The sequence below is a fragment of the Homo sapiens genome, chromosome 7 (genome assembly GCF_000001405.40).
Source record: "Homo sapiens chromosome 7, GRCh38.p14 Primary Assembly".
Classification (NCBI taxonomy): Eukaryota; Metazoa; Chordata; class Mammalia; order Primates; family Hominidae; genus Homo; species Homo sapiens.
Window position 1 is genome coordinate 111,152,820 of NC_000007.14, and position 18,915 is coordinate 111,171,734.

At 34.4% G+C, this 18,915-nt stretch overlaps 1 protein-coding gene across 25 annotated transcripts in view; it reads right to left on the reverse strand.

Moving 5' to 3' along the window:
* The window catches only part of IMMP2L (inner mitochondrial membrane peptidase subunit 2), an 899,849-nt gene that overhangs the window by 490,176 nt on the left and 390,758 nt on the right, over nucleotides 1-18,915 (reverse strand). The gene's annotated exons all lie outside the window — the stretch shown is intronic.

An 18,915-nucleotide genomic window follows, 5' to 3' on the forward strand; every position in this document is an offset into this window, starting at 1 on the left:
TCTACTGAATTATGAGCTAACAAGAAGTAAATGCCATTCTTCTTAGTATTCCAGAACTTAGGACAGTGCCAGGTAAATAGTGGATAGCTGTATATAAATATATATAGATGAATGATGAATGGATAGCTGGATAAATATCAAGACTCAATGTAATATTTTTGTTGATTTTTCTGGTTAAATATAAATGCAAAAACCTGCAGTTTTACTGTAAAGAATTCTAAAGGCCTTTAGGTAGGCCAAAATAGAATATATCATACATGAGGGGAAAGGAAGCATATATCTCTAAAATAGCATTTTGTATGTTTAGGAGTACTGCCTTATGGCAAATAGCTAGTTACTCAATTTTTCTTTTTTAAAAAAAGTTCTTAACAGAAGAGTATTTAAAAGTCATCATGACTTTGGGAATTTTAAAGAAGATTTATAGGTATTCAAACTTCACTGTCAATAAAATGTCAAAGCAAGGCCTTATACCTACTAAAGTTAATTTTTTGTTTTATATATTGAGACATACTCTAACAATAAACACTATGCTACCACATAGAATCAGAACAGTGCAGTAGTTTGTCTTACAACATAATCAGTAAATAGTATAACTTTCTGTTAGTTAATAGGGGTAATCTTAACTTTGCAGCCTTCTGGATTGTTAAAGGATGTTTTGATTTACAATATAAACTAAACTGGGCCTATCTTTTCATGGTAAGGAAATTGACCAGTTTATGTATAAACCTACTCTTGACTAACAGAAATCAGTAAACTATGAGGCCATGCTATTTTTCTTTACTTATACTGTACTTGGAAACATAGTAAAAGTATCTAAAATTGCAAATGAAAAATGATTAAACTCTTAACAAACATATATACAACACAGGAAAAAAGGTACTCACCTTTTAATGAGAACTATATATTTTCTTTATGGTAGTAGTACAATAAGCACACAAATCTCCAAAAGTTACCAAGTCTGGGACACTATAAAAATCAATTTTTCATTCAATGACTGCTCATATCCATTCAGCATGAATTATTGCCTTATTAAGTACCAGAGACTTTTTCTCCCTAACTGCACACCCCATTGTACCAAATCTAGTTAGATGAAGCAGAAACAAATTCATATTTCCTAACACTTATTCAAATTCCTTGGACTAGAAACTGCACTGCTGAGAGTCTTCACATTTCATCAAATTATTCTCCCAGTAAGTTTTTTACTAACAAGGCTCTCCTGTATCATTGCTTTTTTCTTTTTATGAAAAATGAAAGGATCCCCACTAATTTCACAGTACAATGTTTCATTTATTACTCAATCTTGTTTCTTAGTTTATTAAAATTAAAGAAGTATATGCTCTATTATACCACACTATTATATTTAATAGTTAGCTTAAAATGTTAAAAATAAAATTAAAACTACTTTAAAGTACCTTTAATAGATATTTCTAAAACCCAACTGCTTTATCTTTACTAACTGGCTAGCTACTTATTTCTTAGATTTCTAAAGTCCTGCTAGAAACATAATAAGGGTAGATAGGCATTAGCATTATTATCTACCATATACATACATATTTTTAGGATCTTCCCAGTGAGAATTATAAGCATCACATCAGCAAATAGAATGTGATTTTTTAAATACAATAAGAAAAATAGCACCAAGAAAACCCAAACTTCACCATGAAAAGAACATCCCTTTTTACCACTACAATTGTTATATTAGACTTTCAAATTAATTTCAGTAAAAAGAAAATAGTGACGGAAAACCAATACTGGTTAAACTAACTACAAGAAGGAATTTTACTTGGAATGTAAGAGCCTCATTGCTCCAAATCTTACTTGCTGTGAACTAGGGATAATCAATAAACTCTTAATAACAGTTCGAGTTTACATTTAACACAAGAGATGGCTGCGATCTAAAAATCATTGTACATTAGTTCGGTTTCCTTTCTTTGTTGTTATTGTTGTTTTTTGACACAAGGTCTCACTCTGTCAGTCACCCAAGCCGGAGTACAGTGGTGTGACCATGGTTCATTGCAGCCTTGACTTCCCAGGTTGAAGTGATCCTCTTGCATCAGCCTCCCAACTAGCTGGGACTACAGCCCTGCCCCACTATGCTCAGGTAATTTTTTAATTTTTTGTAGAGACAGGGTCCCACTATGTTGCCCAGGTTGGTCTCGAACTCCTGGACTCATGTGATCTCCTACACCTTGGCTTCCCAAAGACTGACATTACAGGCATGAGCTACCACATCCAGATCATTAGTTATTATTAAAATTCTGCTGGGGAGGAGAGATATATTCAAAGACGTATGGGTAATAATTTTGCCTTCTTCCCTAGGATCAAGATGAATATGGCTTTTCTGTTTCTGAATTTGTTGTAAGAAACAGAAGAACCTAAAGTTTCCAAAACTTCCTTAAGTGGAATGCAGATATCATTGCAGTAGTGTGTGTCGTTACTTTGGGGCTGGTAATGCAAGCCTTGAGAATACCAGAGCAGCAACAAAGCTGGATAATAACATTCAACTCTGGCTGCCTCTGCTTCTGGGGAGAATGTCACTGGCAACTGCTTATCCACTAGGAAAGAGAGAAACGAAGAAATATTCACTCTAAATATACTATTTAGATCTTCTCTGGGTAGGCATTTTCCTTCTTGGAATAAATAAATTGGAACATTAGAATAGGTGAACTAAGCTCTCTTCTAACCAATCTCTAAGCCATTTGAAATGCCAATGTGGTCAATAAAAATTTTTTCACTAGAAAGCCTTGCATTTATATTCCTCTGTCTCTCTGTCTGTGTATATATATAATTGCACATAAATTTCCATGAAAATGGAAACTTGTGTGCATTGTCATGGAAATTTATATGCAATTATATATATATATATACACACACACAGACAGTCATGTTTTCTACTGAACAAAAATAATATATACTTTTAAAAACTTTTCATTGTTGCATAACATAGATATTGTAAAGTGTAAAAATTTTAGGCATAGCTTCGATGTATTTTCATGAAATGAACTCATTTATGTCCACCATTCCAGGAAGCTTCCCTTACACCCCATCCCAGTGATTTTGCCTCTTTAAAAGTAACAAAAATTTTAAACTCTGCCATTTTAACTTTGCCTGTCTTGGAACTCATAGAGATGAAAATATATAATACATACTATTTTGTGTTTGACTTATTTGCTCCAGATTATACCTGTGAGATTTATCCATGTTCTTTGTGTTGTCATAGTTTGTGCCTTTTCATTGCTCTATAGAATTTAATTTTATATCTACAAGATTTTTATTATTTCTATTCTTGACAGACATTTCCATTGTTCACAGTTGATTTAAAATAATACTGTTGTAGACACTCTTGTATAGATTTTTTGGTATAATTACACACATTTTTTGGTTTGGACTGTATTTAGGATTAGAATAGGTGGGTCATAGGAGATGCTTAAGTTCAGCTTTAGACTAGGCTGTCAACAGTTTTTCAGAGTGGTTATACCAACTTACATTGCCATCAGCACCTTAAAAGTTCTAGTTGCTCCACATCTTCCCTTTCCAATACTTAGTATTTTAAGTTACTTTACTTTCTAAATATTAAATTTTAATATTCAGGCATTTTGTTATCTGCTAATGTTAGTCCTCCAACTTTATTCTTCTTTTTCAAGACTGACCTGGTTACTCTTGGGCGTTTGCATTTCTCCCACAAAATCCTGTTGAATATTTAATTGGGATTACATTAAATCTATACTCAGTTTGCTAAGTCGACATTGACACAATTCATAAACACATGATATATCTTTCCATTTATTTAGGTTTCTTTTAGCTTTGAAATGTGTGCACAGGTTTTACAAAACTTTTATTCTTCCTTAGGTATTTGATGACTTTGATGCTAATATTAATGTCGTCTTTTAAAATTTTCATTTTCTAAGTCTTTCAAGCTAGCACAGAGAAATACAACTGACTTTGTGTGCAGACCTTGTATCTAGTATTTCCTACATGCTTGGAACACCAGACTGGTGAAGTCTTCTAGGCCTGAGATTTTTTTTCTGTGAGGAGGTTTTTATTTATAGAGTTTATTTTCTTAATAGATATGACTATTCAAATTTTCTACTACTCCATGTGTCAGTGATGAGAAGACGTGATTTTCAAGAAGTCTGTCAAGTTCACTTAAAAGGTGTTCAATATCACTGATCAACAGAGAAATGCAAATCAAAACCACAATGAGATAACATCACACTCTAGTTCAAATGGCTTTCATATAAAACATAAGGCATTAACAAATGCTAGTAAGGATGTGGAGAAAACAGAATCCCTGTGCACTGTTGGTGGGAATGTAAATTAGTACCGCCACTACAGCGAACAGTTTGGAGGCTCCTCATAAAACTAAAAATAGAACTACCATATGATCCAGTACTCCCACTGCTGGGTATATAGCCACAGGAAGGAAATCAATACACCAAAGAGATATCTGTATTCCCATGTTTGTTGCAGCATTATTCACAATAGCCAAGATTTGGAAGCAACCTAAGTGTCCATCAATTGATGAATGAATAAAGAAAATGTGGTACCTATACACAGTGGAGTACTCTTCAGCCATAAAAAATAATAAGATCTTGTCATTTGCAACCACATGGATGGTTCTGGAGGTCATTATGTTAAGTGAAATAAACTAGGCACGAAAAGACAAACTTCACATGTTCTTACTTATTTGTGAGAACTAAAAAAACAATGCAACTCATAGAGGTAGAGAGTAGAATGATGGTTACCAGAGGCTAGGAAGCATATTGGAGAAGGAGTGGGGATGGTTGGTTAATGGACACAAAAATATGGTTTGATAGAATGAATAAGATTTAGTATTTGATGATAGTACAACACTGTGTCTACAGTCAACAATAATTTATTGTACATTTAAAAACTAAAAGAGTGTAATTGGAGCATTTGTAACACAGAAAGAATAAATGCTTGAGGTAATCGATATCCCATTTACCCTGATGTGATTATTACACATTGTATACCCATATCAAACTATCTCATGTGCCCCCTAAATATATATACCTACTATAAAGCACAATTTAAAAAATAAAATAAAATAATAAATATTAAAAGAGAAAACCATAATTAAACAGTGAACACATTTTCTGGATATTATTGGTGATTACACGACATTAACTTACTGTAGTTGTCTGCACAAGCAGCACAAATCTGGCCCCGATGACATCATTAAAATATATTACTATTAGCACTACATTTCTGTCAGAATTTTTATTACAGTTTCCTAGCTTGTGAGCTAGAAACTCTCATCCCATACTCTATATACAAAAATAATACTTTATTATATTTTTATTATTCCAGAAGCAAAAACACATTTTGTTAAAAACTCAGAAAAATGTAAAATAAGATTACAGTATTGTTTACATGTCAAAGAAAATATATTCCAATATTTTCAACTCTTCAAAGTACTCTGATTATAGGTAGATATAGGTAGATAGATATAGATACACATATAGAGAGAATCATCAAAGACTGTTGCATACCAAATAAACTCAACACTAATGACAGTAAAAACATAATTCATAAGGGTGAGATTTTTAAATTGTATAATATAATCCATTATAGCACTTGCAACTAAACACTGTTCACTACATACAGAAAGTAGTGACAATTATGCCTTGAGGTAATGATGTGCTCTTACAATTGCTAAGAGTAATTTCTAAACGAAAAACTGTTATAAGATGCAAATTTAACTTTCATCCAAAACTCTAGTTTTTCGAATCACGGTTTTCAGTTCTTTTAGGACATTCCCATACTCATGGGTGCTATACAACTGTCTATGATACTGTTTCTAAACAGGTTAAGAAGTTATATTGCATATACGTTTTTTCAAAGATCCACAAATACATATTGTGTTGAATAATGTAGATAACAAATGGGGTTATTTATTCCAGTTTTCTTGAATTATCAAACTGAAGAACAAATAATTTGTTCTGTGAGTAATATCTAAGTTTCCATTCCAAACTATTCAGCCCAAGCTTAATATAAAATCTAACTGGAAATCAAGGACTAGTCTAACCTTTCTCCAATAGATGCTTTATGATTAGAGTATCGATGAAATAAACATAACCAAAATTAAATGGAGAGTCTTCTCTTCTTTTATAAGCATATGCTTAATATCCACATACTTATTCCACCAAATGTCATAATGTACCTTTAGAAGTTCTAAACTAGGTCACATAAAATTATAAGTGTTTTGAAATTTAAAATGTTTCTGGCAGCATTCTACTAAGAAAGGGTATTTTCGGTTCAAGTTGATGCTGATGATTTTATTTATTTATTTAGAGACGGAGTCTCGCTCTGTTACCCAGGTTGGAGTGCAGTAGCATGATGTCGACTCACTGCAACCTCCGCCTCCCAGATTCAAGTGATTCTCCTGCCTCAGGCTCCCAAGTAGCTGGGACTACAGGCATCTGCCACCACGCCCAGCTAATTTTTGTATTTTTAGTAGAGATGGGGTTTCACCATGTTGGTCAGGCTGATTTCGAACTCCTGACCTCATGATCCACCCACCTCGGCCTCCCAAAGTGCTGGGATTACAAGTGTGAGCTCCCACGCCTGTCCTCAGGTCGATGCTGATGATGTTTATACTTTAAAACATTTATCTGGTTGATGTGTTTTGCTTGAAAAAACAATAACCTTTTCTGTAATATTTTTAACTTCTCCAAATTAAGAAAACACTCAGCCAGCAAAAATAAATTCACTAAACAAAAGGAAGGAAACAAAATAAATTAATTTTGAAATAAGCTAACTGCCTTAAATGGGGAATAGAAGGCCTGTGTTTTGTTTCTAAATTTTTTACCAATTTGTCATGAAGGCTTACATGAAGAAATGAACTCTTAGACAAGCACTGTCCAACAGAAACATCAGGTGAGTCATATATGTAATATTAAGTTTTCTAACAGACACATTTAAAAAGGAAAAAAAGTGAACTTTTGATAATATATTTTACTTAATATACCTCAAATATTATTACTTAAACATGTAATCAACATAAAAAGTATTAATGGGGTATCTTACATTCTTTTTTTTATTACTATGTCTTCAAAATACAATTTGTATTCTATCCTAGGGCACATCTCAATTCAGACTAGCTGCATTTCAAGTGCTCCAAAGCTAATGGTATCAACTTGCACAGTGCAGCTTCACACTTTTGGTTCTTCACTTACTAAATCATATGATTCTTAAGGGTATTTTAGTACTAGTTTTGTAAAATTCTAATCGTGGTTAAAACTGATCAGTGATGAGAGATGCTAAATTCTTCTTCATCCCATAAATATGAGCAAACACAATAAATCAGTATTAAATATATCCAAAAAAATGCAATAGCAAAATACAGGCAAATTTCATTTATGTAATTTATGAAAGTATGCCATAAGTATGTTTGTATTATTATAAATAAGTTATCCAAAAATATTATAACGCTATAATAAAATGCTTCAGAGAACTGCTATACATAGGAAAAAGGATAAATCCCACTAACAAACCTTTGAGCAGTGTTTTTGCTTAGGTTTATACATATTAGAGTAGTCTACTGCAATTTCTATAGATCACATATGCAGTTTACAAGAAGCCTGTATGGACACTAAAATTTAAATCATACATGTTTTAAGGCTGGTATGGTGAGTAAGTCATTTTGCATATAAGTGAGTAAATTAATTAACATCTATGACTCAACTGGCTCTTTACTCTTTATCACATATATGTTGAGTACTCTCTGTTAAAAGTTTAATGACTTAAATTTTTATTAAGATAGAAGGCTATAAATTCATGAGCTAAGTATGTCATTTAGGAAGTTAGACAATGAGAAATAAAGTAAAAATAAAGGTAATTGAAAATAATAACAAAGATATGAATAAAAATTAAAGAAATATAAAGTAAAAGTAAAATTAAAAAATATAAAATAAATATAAAAATGAAGAAATATAAAATATAAGATAAGATTAAACAGGAATCACAAAACAAAAAGTTAATTCTTTGAAAAAACAAAGAATTCAGATAAACTTCTGACGAGTTTGAAAAATTAATAAGAGAGCCAAATAAATATTAGAAATTGAAAAGGTAACATAATCAGAGATTTAACAGAATTAAAAGATATAAAAGAATTCTGTGAATAATTATCTGCCAATAAGTTGAAAAAATGTCATTAAATAGAAATATCTTTATAAAATATAGTCGATCTCAACAAAGAATAAAAATACAAATAAATATACAACTTTTAAATAAATGGAATTATTTCCTTAAAATCTTTCCATAAATACAACAGACTCCGAGATTTTTAAATGCAAGTTTTATCAGACTTTCAATATCCAAAGCATTTCAATCTTATACTTTTCTAGAGAATGAGGGAGAAGGGCATGGAAGGGAGGAGTGATTTATTTCCCAACTCTATGAAGTCAATATAGCTTTGACGACAAAACAGAAAATGACAATAGAACAAAAAATAATATGCCCTCTTACTCATGTATGTATATGTAAATATCCCGAACAAAATGCTATAAAAATAAAATCCAGTGATACATAAAAACATTTCTACTGTTTGACTAAGCTAACTTTTAGGACTACAAGGGGATTATAATTAAAGGAACTATAAATGTCATTTACTATATCAACATTCTATAAGAAAAAATTATAATTATCTCAATAGATATAGAAAAAAGTATCTGATAAAACTGATTACTCAGTTATGGTTAAAAAAATAGCAAATCAGGAAACGAAAAAGATACCCAAAATAACCTTCAGTAATGATGAATGTTTTAGGTATCCTATCATGGTATATTCAAATTTCACAAATGCTTCAGAGCACATTCCTCAAAATTCAAGGATGTGAATAATAAGTATGCTAAACAAGTGTATTGTATGGAGTAACAGTATTAAATACCAATTTGCTCAAAATAGTAGCGAACAGACTTCAGGACATTCATTATCTACAAGGTTTTTGATCCTAATGAATGAAATGTCTACTGCAAAGAAGCAATTTATTCATTTCATTATAAATAATTTTATTGACAGGACAATTTTTAAGACAACCTGACAAACTAAAATGTCTCCACTTCAAATAAAGTATCCAACATTTAAAAAAAATTATATTACGATATGCTTTAAATAGAATTCTGATGCTGAACTCCGTAATATGTGAGTATGTGTGAGTTACCACTTGTGTTTAATAACTGTTAGATGGCTAATGTTAGTCCAAATGACGGTCTGCTCTGGTTAACACACTAAAATTGTTTATATCAAAATCAGAAAATCAATGATTGCAAACCAAACCAAAAGTAAGGTCATACCAGTAGTTTTTATATTTATTGATAAATAAATTATTGATCGCTAATATGTTGTTAAAAATTATGTCTTTTACATCTCCCTAAATGCATTACATGTATGTATTTCCAATGAGTTTTTAAAATGTCCAAGACATGAAATTTAAAAGAATCTTGAAGAAATTTATTAAACACTGAAATTTGATTATAATTTTACGAATTTATTCCTGAACTCATCTCAAGGAGCAATGACCTCAGGTAAACACGCGCTCTTAGAGTCATATGGGATAAAGAAGTCTGGCAAGATTAAAAAGGGAAAATGTGACTTTTTAAATGACAATAAGTATAACACAAATATACTAAAGTTCATAAAAATATATACTACAGTCATCAAATGTAGTCACCTACTCAGTTCAGGGAGGGCATATCCTCCACAGGGATTCATCCATTCTCCATTTTAAAATTGATTTTAACTTTACAGAAGGCATGTTTGTGAATCAAGGAGGATTCCAGATTTTGAGCGAGTAGTTTTTTTTTTTTTGCCCCATTGTGTTTGCCAAGCCCCATTGTTAGATAAAATTTCCAGCTAGAAGGTATGCTCTTGCCAATGACTTTCTCCTGACCAAACTCTTGTCAGAATCCTCTGATCTCCGCTTGACTAAGCCTCAAACTTGGTGGATAAAAACTGCAACCTCTTCCCACAAATGATTTTGTCTAGACACCCCCGCCCTCACCAACATAAACACTAAGAGACTTGAACAAACACTAACATAGTTTCTAACTGCTCAAGGCCACAGCCCTAGGATGACCCCATCCCACCTTAGAGCGCCTGCCTGAAAAAAGCTCAACACTGCCAGGAGAACTTGCTGTTTGTTTCAGCCCCAAACCAGATAGGCCCCTGAACCCTGCTCTTATAGAGCAGTTGCTTTAGAAAGCTTGCAATTATAAATGCTTTTTTGCCCTTTGGGACAATCTGCTACCCCAAACTGTTTCCTCAAGGACCTGAGCGCTCTATGAGATGCAAACATTCTGGGAGACAACTGTCACTCTCACTCCCAGACCCTGTGGGAGTTAAGGCCCAACTTCGAGTGGGCACCTTGCTCTAATACCATTGCCTCCTGTCATAAAGATAGATTGCTTCTCCTCTGGAGAGGCGTCAATTAACAAACCCACGTGGCTTCATCACATAGACCAACCCCTTAACACCCCTCAGTGCCAGTCCCTGGCCTCTAAAAAGTCTCCAGCTTTTTGTTTTGGTGAAGTTGAGTTCAATTCATGCTGGACTCACTTCCCTACTGCAACTATTTATTACCGAATCAAATCTCTCCTCAGTGCTTTAACTAGTGTCTAGCTTTGTTTATCCTTGACACTCTGAAAAAAAGTTGATAATCCCCTAACTGTCAATATTCTGGAAGTTAGTCTCAATTCTGTCATCTGTATGTCTCTGCCTTGTCATAGAACATTAAATTAAACCCTAAGTGGCTTGTGTGGATTGGTATCAGTTGGAAACTTAGCTGGTGGAGTTTCATGAGCTTTAGATGAGGGTAGGAAGGGATAAGGGGCTTGATAGATTTTCTATAGGTTTTGTGTGCAGCGCAGCCAGCTAGACTTGAGATGCAGTGGATGATGCCCCAACCCAGGGACTCTCCAAGGGAAGGTTTTTTAGGGAATTCGGTCTATAATCCAATAGTCTGATATCTCTTATTGAGAATGTCTTTGTTCTAAAGTAACTCAGCTTTGCTATATCTCAGGGGAGACTAGGCTGTTGTTACCTTAACTACAGATGTAAAGACTAGAATAGATGGGGAGGAGACCAAGAAGGAGCTTTTCCTACTATACTGGAACAAGCTATAGCACAAAAGATCTGAAATAGCTGTAAGAAGAAAGTACTATGCAGTAAGCAGAACATAACATTTAGAGGATTAAAAACAGAACACTGGTAAAGGCATAGTATGACAATAGTTATAAAAAGGGAAGGAAAGTAGGAGAGGGGGAGGGAGAAGGGGAGGGAGGGGAGGGAGGAGAGGGAGAGAGGAAGGAAGGAAGGAAGGAAGGCAGGAAGGCAGAAAGGCAGGAAGGCAGGCAGGCAGGCAGGCAAGAAGACAGGCCAATTGGCCAACTTCAGACATAGTATTAGGTCGGCGCAATTACTTTTGCACCAACCTATTGCAGGGAGTGCTGACAACAAGGTAGAGCTCTGGGAAATCAAAAAGTGACAGAAAGCCAGCTAGAAAGACAAGTAAGCAGCAGAGGGAGTCCTGTCACTAAGTGGATGGGACCCATTCACAGGACATGTTGTGAGGAAGCACTGGGTCACTAGGACCCATTCACAGGACATGTTGTGAGGAAGCACTGGGTCACTAGGGAAGTCACCATAAGCTCAGAGATTGACACCAGATGGATTTACCAGGAATGGGATGAAAGAGTGGAGTGATCCCACAGCAAGACATAAAGAGCCCAGTTATCAAGAACAGGGTAGTGATACAACAGTACACAGTGACCTAATAACGCTGAGGCCCAGAAAACTGGATCCAGTTTAAATCTATGAACTTTACTATCAGATGAGTCAGAAAAGCAAAGGAAGGGCATAATTAATTATAGGAATCAGGCCAGGCTCACAAACATAGCATCTGTCAAGTTTTGAAGTCACTTAATTCAAACAAAGATCTTGGAAGGGACATGCCATTTTGTCATTTTGTTGTGAGCTGATTAAAAAAAATTTTTTTTGCTAGGTTATTTATTGTTTTGGGTGTGGTTTTTGTAGCTTTCTTTTTTTCTAATTATTTTTTACTGTAGAGAAATACACATAGCATAATATTTACTATCTTAATTATATTTAAGTGTAGCATTCAGTGGTATCAAGTACATTCACATTGTTCTGTTACCATCACCACCATTCATATCCAGAACTTTTTTCATCATATAAAACAGAAACTCTGTACCCATTAAACAGTAATTCCACATTCCACACTCCCCACATCCGGGGCCCCTGGCAACCTCCATTCTTTCTGTCTTTAAGGTTTTGACTATTCTAGGTACCTCATACAAGTAAAATCATACTGTATCTCTCTTTCTGTGACTGGCTCATTTCACTTGGCATAATGGCCTGAGGGTCCATCTATACAGTAGCATATGTCCGAACTTTCTTCTTTTTTAAAGCTGAATGACAGTCAATTGTACATATACACCACACTTTGCTTATTAATTCATCTGTCAATGGATATTTGGGTTGCTTCTGCATTTTGGCGATTCTGAATAACATGCTATAAATGTGAGTATATAAATATATCTTCAAGACCCTGCTTTCAATTCTTTTGGATAAATTACCAGAAGTGGAATTGCTGGATCACAGGGTAATTTTATGTTTAACTTTTTGAGGAAATGCCATACTATTTTCCACAGTGGCTATTTATTTTTTAATGCATTTAAGCTATTTTACTATTTTAACTGATTTCATTAGTGTTTTGCTTATTTTTATCTACTTATTTTATTTAAAAGTTCAGTTTTAAAAATCGTGATTTACTTGTTTCAAGTGATAACAAGGAACAATCAGGATAAGGATAATAGACTTGTGATAAGCCCTTGACTGAAGCTGGGGTTAACTCTACAAACACCTTCACAGCACCAAAACAAATCTCCCATACTCATTCTGGGTCATCTCTTGGCTCCTAGGAAAAAGACTGACAGCATCTTGAGATCAAATTGCAGCTCTGCCTTCTACCATTTGAAGGCCAAGCCCCCGGCAAGTTATCAGGATTATAGTGCATTCTCAATTAATATAGGTTTTGATTAATATTAATGATTGCTCTCAGCCAATCAGCAGAGACTAAGACTGAAATTTCTCTCATAAGTGAGTGATATATTCATCCTCAAAGAGAGCTCAATAACCTAACTAGGATTGTGTCATATCATTTCGAAGAATATTTAGTCCTTAATTATAATCTTAAAATGACAAGAAAAAAGTAGCAATTCATATTTTAAAATTATTTCATTTAAACCCCATGAGTGAGGTTAATAATAATGGAAGGATTATTATCTCCATTTCATAGATTAAGAAATTGATGCTTAGATGGGTATCTTGCCTAGTTAATTAGTGACAAAACCTGACTCTAACCCAGGAACTTCAATAAATGAAATCTATAGTCTCTACATAGATTTAAATTCTAGACAATCAAAATCTAGTCCTTAAACTGTCTATGAAGTTCTTATCCAGAAGTATAATTATTTCACTAAGAAACTAGGATTCCTCCCACCCTGGCCTGCTTGAAAGTAAACTTTATTATTTATTATATTATACTCTCTCCTATCCTTTTAAATAATGTCTTAAGTTACATAAAAAGAGAAGCAAATATACTTTAACAATCAAGGAGCACCTGGGATTTCAGAGCTTCCTTCCCACAAGTGGCCTCCATTACCCTAAGGTAGTGCCAACTGCAGAACATTAGAGTTGGTTAATTCGTGCCCCACACATACTGTATTAGTTTCCTAGGGCTGCGAAAACAAAGCACTACAAACTGGGCGGCTTCCAAGAGAAATTTACTCTCTCACAGTTATGGAGGCCAAAGGTCTGAAATCAAGGTGTCATCGGGCTACATTTCCTCCAAAGTCTCTGGGGAAGAATTCTTCCTTATTTTGTCTAATTTCTGGTGGTTCCAGTCATTCCATGGTTTGAGGCTGCATCACTTCAACCTTTGCCTTTATTTTGCCTATCCACTGCTTTCACCTCTTCTCTGTGTGTCTCTTCTGTGTCTCCTTCATAAAGATACCTGTCATTTGATTTAGAGCCCACCTGGATAATCCAGGATAATCTCATCTTGAGGTCCTTTAAATTGCATCTGCAAAGATTCCTTTTCCAAGTAGGATGAAATTCACAGGTTCTGAGAAATGGACACATCATTCGGAGGGGGGGCAGGTCACCATTCAACCCACTACACCACAGAAAAACCCAACACTATCACAAGCCCATGTGAAGCTGTTATGATGCATATCACTTGGCAATGTTCTACCATTTAGTCTGATCTCTTATTTACCACTTTACAATTTTCCCATGTGAGGGGACTTGATCTGACCACGTCATGAACCACACCTGCTCTCATCAAAGCCTGTCTTTAGATCTTTCCTCTGATTATGTCCAGGAATATACAATTTCAGCTACTTTTGACTGGACCCTAACTAACTGATTATCACCATGCTCTGTTCTGGACTGTTTTTATGGGTTCCCTGCTGACTCCACTCATCAACCACAAATCCAAAACATTTCTTTTTCACCATAAAGAAGCAGTCTGCTCTGCGAAAAATGACCATACATCCCATTTTGCACAAAACCTTGCTGGTTTACCTGATTTTTCAGCATACTTCAAGCTCAAGATTATATGCACATCCTAACTCAGGTGCCCCTCAGCTTCAAACCAAATAATATCAGAAGGTTACCAACTGAAATCATATTACCCCAAACTCCACAAAACAAATGGATTGTTGCAGTTTCCCTTACCTTTAGTGTATTGACGAACATGCTTCCCAATGACTAAATTATCTTCACCGGGATATAATATAAGGGAGAATCAAGTATTAGGCTTACTCTCTAATATCCTTCTAAGGATTTAACATCATGTGCCTCAAAAATAGCTGGTCCTAAGAACACAACAAGAGCCTGTTGTGTTTACTCGGAATCCTCAGTAAAATAATGTTGAAAGAAAGAATGGCTGTAGTGATTTAAGTTAACATCTAAGATTTGGCTTCTGAGCTATTGGGTATATGCAATATGAATTCTTTCATGAACCGGAATAATACCTTTTCCATTAACTACTCTGCTTATTTTTTTTATTTTGCAGATCTCTGCCTACCAACCTAGGTGTTGTTTTGTTGTTGGTGTTGTTTTTACACTTGAAAGAAACTTAGAGATTTCTACTTACTTTATTCAAACAGTAAAATTTTTGCATAGGAAGTTTTCAGTCTTAATAAATTTCATTAAGGTCTATAGAACACTGGAAGTATGTAGCTTTGTGGCAAAATTCGAAACTTGATTTTCTGCTGGATATGTTGTCTGTAAAAATGGACTTAATTTTGAGTGTTAAAATCACTTATAAATATGAATTTAACAATTTGAAAAAATGATTTGCAAAAATAATCCAATTATTTGTGATTGTTTTTTACTTGTGGGCTTTAAGTTCTGTTTTTTTTTTCTACAGACCTGAACCTTTGCTTTTATTTGAGCATTCTAAACTCATTTAGCTGGAAAACCAAATTCCCCGTGGTCCCATTATGTACGTTGCTAAGCAAACCATCTAGCAGCATCTATAAACAGGAGGTTTGGATGTGAGCCAGTCTTATAAGTTGAGAGTAGGTCAGTGCATTTTAAACCAGCACATCATTAATGAAGAAAGGTGTCTTGCTGCTAAACCAGTTTATATTTTTTGGGGGCAAATATACACATTTATTGACCTATGCTAAATTGATTTTGCTTTTTTACCCCTGCCTTTGAAGCACCTTCCATATTGCTATATAGATTTTACTTAACAAGGACTTCCCTAATTTGAAAAACAGATCTAAAGATAATCTTAAAGCTCTACTTGTATACTTTTCAAGCAAAGCTGTATAATATACTCTATCCCTTCCCTACATTCTTTCTGTAGGAAATAATTTGTCATGAGTAAATAATCTGGCCTTTAAAACTGACACTAAATGGAAAGATGCTATGGCTTTTGAAATGCATATTAGATCATCTGTTACCAAATTAAATTGGTATCAGTTTGCAAGGAGTACCATAAGAAAGTACTACAAACCGGGTGCCTTAAACAACAAAAATTTTTGTCTCAGTCTGGAGGCCCAAAAACAAGGTGTCTTCATGTAATAGTGAAACAGCAAAAGAGTTATGAATATTATAACTAACTCCATTTTTGTTAAGGGGCCCTTACCCGATTCCTACACATAGGCAAGGATAATTTTAGAACAGTGAGGTAATTTGCAAAAACAGCAATCATGTAGTTTTTAAAAGTAACGCTGAGATTAAAGGAGAAGTATGTATACAACTATATATTTTGTTAAAGATTTATAGGAGCATTGTGACCTGACCAAAGAAAAAGACATTCCCAACCTCCTTGGACCCTCCCTGGAGCCCAGATGCCTGCAGTGCAGTCATTAGTTACCTCTTGATCCCAATTCCCAACTCTTTCTCCTTCCCTTCACTTAAAAATAGCCTGAAATTTGTACTGACTTAAGATGGTACTTCAGGACGTTAATCCAAAATTTTCTCAGTTGGCTGATTCTGAAAAACCTGCTTCTCTTCCCACCAAATCTCATCTCTCACATTTGGTTTTTGAGCAGTGAACAACCAAACTTGAGTTTGGGTTACATTCAGGGTTGGTTTCTTCTGAAACTAGGTTTGGTTACATTCAGCGTTCTGAGGGAGAACATGTCCCACGCCTCTCTCTTGCTGGTGGTTTCCTGACAATGACAATCTTTGGTGTTCCTTGGCTTGCAGTATCGTAACTCCAATCTTCCCATAGCATTTGCCCTGTGACTCTCTCTCTGTGTCCAGAGTACCCTGCTTTATAAGAACACAGTCATACTAAATTAGAGCCAACCTTAATGACCTCATCTTCATTTGGTCATCTGCAAAGACCTTTCCAATAATGTCACATTCACAGGTACTGACAATTAGGACTTCATGTTTTGGGGAGACACAATTCAACACATAACAAAATTCATTCATGAAGAAATGTCACAGACTACACTGGCACACCAGTATTTCTACATTTCTATCAGATCCAGTGGTTCTCTTCTTTTATTGTCTCCTTTTGTTTGTTGTTCATGGTGGTATTTGGTTATTTAACTTCCTATATTAGATTTTAAAAGCACCCACGTTAATCCGGTTTCACAAAAGATATGTAGATATAAAAATGATTTGTAATAGCACATCTATATTGCTGATGAAATACATTCATAAGCTGTTTTGTCTATACATATGCATACATTCAAGTAACAGTTGAAACTGCTGAAACTATGTCAGTATATTTTGGCACATATTATGAATTGCCATTTGGAAGAAAAAAACCCAATATTAAAAATCTTTTCTTATAAAAGAATATAAGGTCTCTCTCTCGTTAGTCTTGTTAGTATTATTTTTTCTCCCCTAAGGAAATCCAACAATTATGTTGGGAAATCAAGGCAACCTTCAAACCAGGGAATCTAGATGTACAGGAAACAACAGGTAGATTGGCAAAAAGATAAAGGCCAATTTAAGAGCAGAATTAATTTCTTCTGCAGTGACCCTAGATCACCACAGAAGGGGCAAAAGTCCAGAACAACTGGCAGTAACATAAAATCCAAAAACACAGTTGTTTGAAAGATGGCTGTAGCCAGAATAGGAGCCCACAATACAATAGTTTAGGCCAATACCCTTAAGAAATAAAGCCTGTGGCAGTCATTTCCAGAAGAAATTGATAGCACTGGAAGTGGACTTAGAGAGGTAGAGAATGTGACCAAAAGGTTAGCCCTAGAAAAGATAATCCTACAAATCGACACATCTCCTAGAATGTCAAAATAATGAGGTCTGAGGGTTCCTATCATCTCCCTAGCTCCCAGTTTACCTAAGGTATACATCATCTGTATGTTTTCCCCATACTTGAAAAGATTCTTTTTTAAATTTTTTAATTTTTATAGATTTAGGAGGATCATCGGCAGTTTTGTTATAAGAATACTGCATAGTAGTAAAGCCTAGGCTTTTAGTGTACCCATTACCCCAACAGTGAACAACAGTACCTAAAAGGTAATTTTCAACCTTATTCTCCTTGTGCTTAGAAAGATTCTTAAAACAGAAATATGAGGCTTGAGGTATGTGATCATAGTATATAAGAACACAGTGTTTGTGTCTTATAATCAGGTTATATGAATAGTTCTAATTGCTCAGAAGGCAAGAGAAAACTCTGATTGTGTGTTTGATTGTATTTCATAGGTTTACTTTTACCTCTGAGAAATCAGTATAAAAATCCAAAATCTGTATAAGTATAAAGTGATGAAGGCAATCAGCTTTTCTTCATGAGCATTCTTAGAGCCCTTTTCTAAAAGAAAAAGTATGCATGCAAGATACACACACACACAAAGACATACACAGAGAAAGAGGATATGTGGTGCACACCATGTGGCATACATTTACATTTTAAATTATCATGAATTAAATTTTCCCATGAGGCCTCAATATTGTACTACATTGAAATTATTAGAAACTCACTAGGGTAGCATAAAATCAATGTTTTGAATCATTGACCACAAGGGAAATAATATTTGAGCCTCCTAGTTTTATTAATATCACAATAACTATTTAAATATTTACTCTAAAAGCCCAAAGAGAGAGAAAGAAGCATTAGGGAACAACCTGTATAATATAAATCATTTAAAGCTTTCTCACCTCCATGATCAAATTTCTTTTGCCTCAAAAGAAAACATGGCAAAAAGAACATTTATGAAAAATGTATTACATAAAGTTGGATACTTAAAGATTATAGTCATAATGTATACAGTAAAAGAATCCGGAGGGAAAAAAGATTAATATCCTGAAGAAAATTTACCAACATTCTAATCAGACCAGGATTTGCTTAGAACACATCTGAGGGTGCTCCTTAGACAA